The sequence below is a fragment of the Homo sapiens genome, chromosome X (assembly GCF_000001405.40).
Source record: "Homo sapiens chromosome X, GRCh38.p14 Primary Assembly".
Classification (NCBI taxonomy): Eukaryota; Metazoa; Chordata; class Mammalia; order Primates; family Hominidae; genus Homo; species Homo sapiens.
Genome location: NC_000023.11, coordinates 51,616,495 through 51,623,805, shown reverse-complemented (window position 1 = coordinate 51,623,805; position 7,311 = coordinate 51,616,495). Strand labels below are relative to the sequence as shown.

General features: G+C 43.0%; 1 protein-coding gene across 1 annotated transcript; it reads left to right on the top strand.

The window, feature by feature from the left end:
* Positions 1-4,893: 4,893 nt before the first annotated feature.
* On the top strand, positions 4,894-6,786 carry CENPVL3 (centromere protein V like 3). Its single transcript, NM_001355276.2, has one exon. It carries the CDS (start codon positions 4,933-4,935, stop codon positions 5,749-5,751), a length of 819 nt encoding a protein of 272 aa, NP_001342205.2. The 5' UTR covers positions 4,894-4,932; the 3' UTR covers positions 5,752-6,786.
* Positions 6,787-7,311: the final 525 nt, after the last annotated feature.

Sequence of the window (7,311 nt, the reverse complement as noted above, 5' to 3'; positions counted from 1 at the left end):
CATTCTCAGATCTCAAACTCCCTGCTGGGAGAACCACTACTCTCTTCAAAGCTGTCAGACAGGGACATTTAAGTCTGCAGAAGTTTCTTCTGCCTTTTGTTCAGCTATGCCCTGCTCCCAGAGGTGGAGTCTACAGAGGCAGGCAGGCCTCCTTGAGCTTCAGTGGGCTCCACCCAGTTCGAGCTTCCTGGCCACTTTGTTTACCTACTCAAGCCTCAGCAATGGTGGGCACCCCTCCTCCAGCCTTGCTGCAGCCTTGCAGTTCGATCTCAGACTGCTGTGCTAGCAATGAGCCAGGCTCCGTGGGTATGGGACCCTCCGAGCCAAGCGCAGGATATAATCTCCTGGTGTGCCATTTGCTAAGACCATTGGAAAAGTGCAGTATTAGGGTGGGAGTGACCCGATTTTCCAGGTGCCATTTGTCACAGCTTCCCTTGGCTAGAAAAGGGAATTCCCTGACCCCTTGCATTTCCCAGGTGAGGTGATGCCTGGCCCTGCTTTGGCTCACACTAGGTGGACTGCACCCACTGTCCTGCACCCACTGTCTGACAAGCCCCAGTGAGACGAACCCGGTACCTCAGTTGGAAATGCAGAAATACCCTGTCTTCTGCATCACTCACACTGGGAGCTGTACACTGGAGCTGTTCCTATTCAGCCATCTTGGAACCGCCTCTCCCCCTAGAAAGTTTTAAATACCTCACCCCTCAATTTGCATTGACCTGCCCCTTAATTTGCAGGTAATTGAAAGAGGGTCCATGTAAGTATAAATACAGTTGCCAAGAGCATCATACTTTGCTGACTCTGGGTGCACTGCCTATGAGTTAGCTATGCTCTAAGGGGAGCAGTGTGTTCAATAGAAGATTGCTAGCTAATACTACCGGCTAACCCTTGAAATCCTTTCTGGGTGAAGCCAAGAACCCTTTTTGGTTAAGTCTTGATTTGGGGTTTGCTTGTCCTGCAACAAGATTACTTGCTTATTGCAAAGAAAGACCATGCTTTCATAATAGAAAAATATAGCAATTACCACTTTAGTGAAGAGATAACATTTAGTTTTATTACTACTGGAATAATTTGGTATCACAAACCTCTGATGTGGTGAAATATGAAGTATGCAATACCACCTATGAGACATAGTTGCCAAAACATGTAACTTGAATTTAATTAAGCCTTTAGATGTGACTTTTAGTTATATAGGAAATAGATAAGTGAGCAATCTAATGGCACAGGAAACAATCAGACAAAATCAGCAGATAACTGTCCTGGCCTATTAAAATAAATGTTGGTGAAGAGACTAAAAAGACATATCAACTGAATCTGATGTGTAAATATTAATTAGAGTGTGTTTAGGGAAGAATCTTTTTATAAAACACATTTAGGAAACAATTGGAGAAATTTAAACATCTACTGGGAGTTAGAAGATATTAGGAAATCATTAATGATTTGTAGATGTGAAAATGATATTGTGGCTGTATAACAAATTATATCTTGATCTTGTACCTAGAAAACCCTGAAGATTCTTCCAAAAGACTCCTAGACTTGATAAAGGACTTCAGTAAAGTTTCAGGTCACAAAATTAACATACAAAAATCAGTTGCACTTCTATACACCAACAGTGTTCAAGCTAAAAATAAAAACAAGAACTCAATCCCATCTACAATATTCACACACAAACAAATAAAACACCTAGAAATACATTTAAGCAAGGAAATAAAAGAGCTCTGCAAGGAAAACTACAAGACACTGCTGAAAGAAATTGTAGATGACACAAGCAAATGAAAAAACATCCCATGCTCATGGATTAGAAGAATTAATATCAGCAAGGTGCGGTGGTTCACGCCTGTAATCCCAGCATTTTGGGAGGCCGAGGCAGGCAGATCACCTAAGGTTGGGAGTTTGAGACCAGCCTAACCAACATGGAGAAACCCCATCTCTACAAGAAATACAAAATTAGCTGGGCGTGGTGGCACATGCCTGTAATCCCAGCTATTCAGGAGGCTGAGGCAGAAGAATCATTTGAACCTGGGAGGCGGAGGTTGCAGTGAGCCAAGATTGCGCCATTGCACTCCAGCCTGGGCAACAAGAGCAAAATTCTGTCTCAAAAAAGAAGAAGAAGAAAGAAGAAGAAGAAGAAGAAGAAGAAGAAGAAGAAGAAGAAGAAGAAGAAGAAGAAGAAGAAGAAGAAGAAGAAGAAGAAGAAGAAGAAGAAGAAGAAGAAGAAGAAGAAGAAGAAGAAGAAGAAGAAGAAGAAGAAGAAGAAGAAGAAGAACAAGAAGAAGAAGAAGAAGAAGAAGAAGAAGAAGAATTAATAATATGAAAATGACCATACTGCCCAAATTAATGTACAGATTCAATGTAATTTCTATCAAATTACCAATATCATTTTTCACAGAATTAGAAATAAATTCTAAAATTCATATGGAACCAAAAAAAGAGTAAATAGTCAAAGCAATCACAAGCAAAAAGACAAAAGCCAAAGGCATCACATTACTTAACTTCAAACTATAACTACAAGGCTATAGTAACTAAAACAGCATGATACTGATACAAAAATAGACACATCAATGGAACAGAACAGATAACTCAGAAGTGAAGCTACACAGCCATAACCAACTGATCTCCAACAAAGTTGACAAAAATAAACAACGGGGAAAGGACACCCTATTCAATAAATGGTGCTGGGAAAATTAGCACCATACGCAGAAGAATATGGACCCCTATCTCTCACCATACACAAAAATTAAGTCAAGATGGATTAAAGACCTAAACGTAATACCTGAAACTATAAAAATCATAGAAGGAAGCCTAGGAAAAACTTTTCAGGAGATTGGCCTAGGGAAAGAATTTATGACTGAGACCTGAAAAACAATGCAGGAAAAAGAAAAATAGACAAATTGGACTTAATTAAACTGCACAGCTTCTGCACAGCAAAAGAAGCAATCAACAGAGTAAACAGACAACCTACAGAATGGGAGAAAATATTCACAAACAATGCATCTGACAAAGGACTAATATCCAGAATCTATAAGGAACGAAACAAATCAACAAGAAAAAAAACATAACCCCATTAAAAAGTGGGCAAAGGACATGAACAGACATTTCTCAAAAGAAGACATACGAATGTCCAACAAACACTTGAAAAAATGCTCAGCATTGCTAATTATCAGAGAAATGTAAATTAAAATCACAAGGAGAGAGATACCATCTCACAGCAGTCAGAATGGCTATTATTAAAAAGCCAAAAACTAACAGATGTTGGCAAGGATGCAGAGAAAAGAAAACGTTTATATCGTGTTGGTGGGAATTAGTACGACTCCTGTGGAAAGCAGTATGGAGATCCTTAAAGAGTTAAAAATAGAACTACCATTTGACCTAGCAATCCCACTACTGGGTATCTACTCAAAGGAAAATAAATCGTTACATCAAAAAGACACCTGCACTGGTATGTTTATTGCAGTGCTATTCACAATAGCGAAGTCATGGACTTTGTGTCCATTAACAGATGATTGAATAAAGAAAAATATGCTATATATACACCATGGAATACTACACTGCCATAAAAAAGAATAACATCATGTATTTTGCAGCAACATAGATGGAGCTTGAGGCTATTATCCTAAATAAAATAACCCAAAAACAGAAAATCAAATTCTCATTCATAAGTGGAAGCTAAACAATGGGTACACATGCACACACAGAGGGAAATAATAGACACGGGGACTGCAAAAGCAGGGAGGGTGGGAGGGAAATGAGAGTTGAAAAAGTACCAACTGACTACGGTGTTTACCGTTTGGGAGATGGGTACACTAGAACCCCAAACCTTACCACTACACAACATATCCAAGTAACAAACCTGCACATGTAGCACCGAACTTACAAAAATAAGTAAATACATAATCTTGAGCTTCAAAAAAAGAGAAATTATATGTTTATTCTTAGGATGTGAGTGCTGAAATATTGAGACAACATGGCATTAATGTATGTATCTTACTTTAAATGTTTTTGAAAAAATGTATGCACATATGCATGCATATAGATACATGTAATTCCTATCGAATTACTGTTCTGTCTACAGTTGTCGCATATAGGTACATACAACAAAATGTTAAGAATCATTGAATCTAGGTTGTGGGTAGATGGATGCATCTCTGCTTAAAACCCATGTGTGTGGATGTTACTACTTAACTCACAAGAAGCAGCTTTCCTAAGACTGCTCACTGTTTTCCCAGGTACTTATTGCACCCCAGAAAAGAAGATCTGTGCTCATTTTGTGGGGTCTCTCCTCTGACTATGCCCAACGATCAACCAAATCAATCTTAAAAGAACAAAATATCCACTTCATATTCATGCCTGCCAGAGCTGTTAATTTGTTCTTGGCACAGACACAAAAATAAATGTACTGTTTCTTCTTTTATCTCTTGTCCTTAGAAGATGGATTTAAATGAGTAAATTTTTTTTTGCCTGTATTTTCTCTGGTTGGGTCCACCGATGTAACATAGTACTGTGGATCATCATCTTTACTACACTTAACTTTGGTACAACTACTTACACACCACACATTTTCTCCCCCCAAGGCTTTATGCATGACTCTGTCTCTTCTATAGTAGATGAATAATTCTTTTTTCTTAAGCTGATCTACCTGCTGTTGCATGCTAACTAAAAGATCTACAGTATTTTCAGTGGTTCAATATGTTAAGGTTAGGCTGATGATTTGAATCAACAATAGAAATTAACATTTAGGAGAAGGGGCAACTGATAGGCTCAGTCAGAATTTCGGGCCAGCAAAGGCTGTTGTGATAGGGTCAAGGGAAGGGTCCCTTTACATCACATTCAACAAGTGGCCAATCCTGCTGGCGCAGACAAGGAGGCTGCTCAGCAACTGACGGGAAAATGGGGGTAGCGGGCTGGGCACGCGCTCCGGAGGCTGCAGGCGCCATGGGCAGAGTGAGGAACCGCGCCACTGCTCAGCGGCGGAGGCGAAAGCGGCCCGGGGATCCTCCCGCCGCCTGCGCGGCCATCGCGGTCATGGGCGCCAGCCGCGCGCAGTGCCCCCGGGTCCAAGTCGGGGTCGGGAGCCACGCGGCGGCCAAGAGGTGGCTGGGAAAGTTGCGGCGGAAGCGCCGGTGGCGGCGGGCCCGGGAGGCGGGCTCCAGAGATCCGCTGCCCTCCGCGCCACTCCCGGACCCGCCGGCGCCCGCCGAGTCCCCTAAGGAGCTGGACCTGGGCGCACAGCGGGAGCGCTGGGAGACGTTCAGGAAACTGTGGGGCCTCAGCTGCGAGGGCGCCGCCAAGGTCCTGCTGGACACCTTCGAGTACCCGGGCCTCGTGCATCACACCGGGGGCTGCCACTGCGGCGCGGTCCGCTTTGCGGTCTGGGCCCCTGCAGATCTGCGCGTCGTGGATTGCAGCTGCAGGCTGTGCAGGAAGAAGCAGCACCGCCACTTCCTCGTCCCGGCCTCGCGCTTCACGCTGCTCCAGGGCGCAGAAAGCATCGTCACCTATCGGTCCAACACGCACCCGGCGCTGCACAGCTTCTGCAGCAGGTGCGGGGTGCAGAGTTTCCACGCAGCTGTCTCTGACCCCCGCGTGTACGGCGTCGCCCCGCACTGCCTGGACGAGGGCACCGTGCGCAGCGTGGTCATCGAGGAGGTCGGCGGTGGCGACCCGGGGGAGGAGGCCGCCGAGGAGCACAAGGCCATCCACAAGACGTCCTCCCAGTCAGCCCCTGCCTGTCCCCGCGAACAGGAGCAGTGATTGGGGCCGCAAGCCCGCCTGAAACCGGCCCGGGCGGCCCTGCGGGGAGCGTCCGAGTACCTGCACAGATCCCATGCTGTAAAAGAGGTGTTTCTGGCCTGGTCACACCGGGGATTCCCTTCCAGTATTTGCCCTTCCCCTCCGCTAGTTTTCAGTGAACTCGCTTACGATCCAAATCTTGAACACACCTTTGTCTGCGTAGTACAACGTTAATCTTGCAATTCGATAAGGAAGAAGAGTGTCTCTGATTTTTCAAACCATCCATTGTATCTCTCGCTTTTACTGTTCTGCCTACAGTTGTCACAAATCACCTGCAGATGATTCCTGTGTACTGTACGTTCCTGGTGCTATTGTGAACAGGCTTGTTGTTTTCAGCGCTTTGCGTCTGGTGTGTAGGACGGCAACACACAAACAGTTTGTAAACATGTGCTAGGACGTCTTCCATTCATTATCGTGTGTGTGCGACGTGTGTGTTTTAGATAGACATTCACGTTTGCACTACTTAGTCCAGTTATCTAGTGTTTTTTATATGATATGTTTTAAGATTCATTAGTATTACATACCTCATTGCTCTTATTAGACGAATGATGTTAGTATTTTCCTCAGTTTTGTTTTAGAAACTGTCTCTGGGAAAGGAGATGGGAGATAGGAATGAGAAACGTCTGTGTGCTGTATGCCCTCTTTAATCTTTCTAAATACCTATCTTATACATGTGTAAGTATTCAGAAATCAGTAAATATTTAATAATAGAAAAGTATGTATTTCTATGCTGTATATTACAAAACCAACTCTAATTTATATGTAATTCTTGGTATCTGAAATTTTTATCAAACAATCAGTGGTGGGTTCAATGATACATATCAGTATTATCATTTTATGGCTTCATAGAATTAAAAAATATGGATCTTTCATAATTTATGTAATCAACCTCCTCTGATGGATGTTTAGCTTTTTTCCAACTTTCAGTGTAATAATAATATTTCAAAGGAGCAAACTTCTAATAAATGTCTGCATTGTTCTACTACTTCGGTAAAAGGGCCTGGATACTCTTTCCATATGTCTTTTACTTGCTGTCTGTCTCTCCTCTGTACATGTTTCATTGGATGTTGAATTGTTTAACTTGACTTACCTTTTCAACGAAGGGAAAAGAGATCAATTAAGTAAGTTTGTGTTTCCATGTATATGAGAGATGACATGGCTATGCCTCACATAAGAGATGCTACCACCTTTCAATTCATACCTCTTCTTTTCCATCTTCCCCTACCCCTACCTAAAGGGAAGGTTTTTGTGACCTGGTTTCTCCAACATGTTGCTCTACTCCCCAAGATTCCTCCTTTGTTCTTTGGAATAGCTTGCCCCAGTCCTTCTCCACCTAGGGATTGAGTTGAGGTAGGGAGGGAGAGAGGAAGGGAGAACATGAACATGCATATATGCCTTAGGTGGTTCAGTCATATTGGTGGTCAGAAAATACCAAATTGCACTGAGTTACACCTATATTACACTCCATTGCATAGAATAGATCCAGAGGGATGGAAAAAAATGACTCAAGATGTCATGCTT

What these genes read in the sequence shown, in the direction of transcription:
- CENPVL3 (NM_001355276.2), top strand. Translation starts at nt 4,933, where the DNA reads ATGGGCAGAGTGAGGAACCGCGCCACTGCTCAGCGGCGGAGGCGAAAG.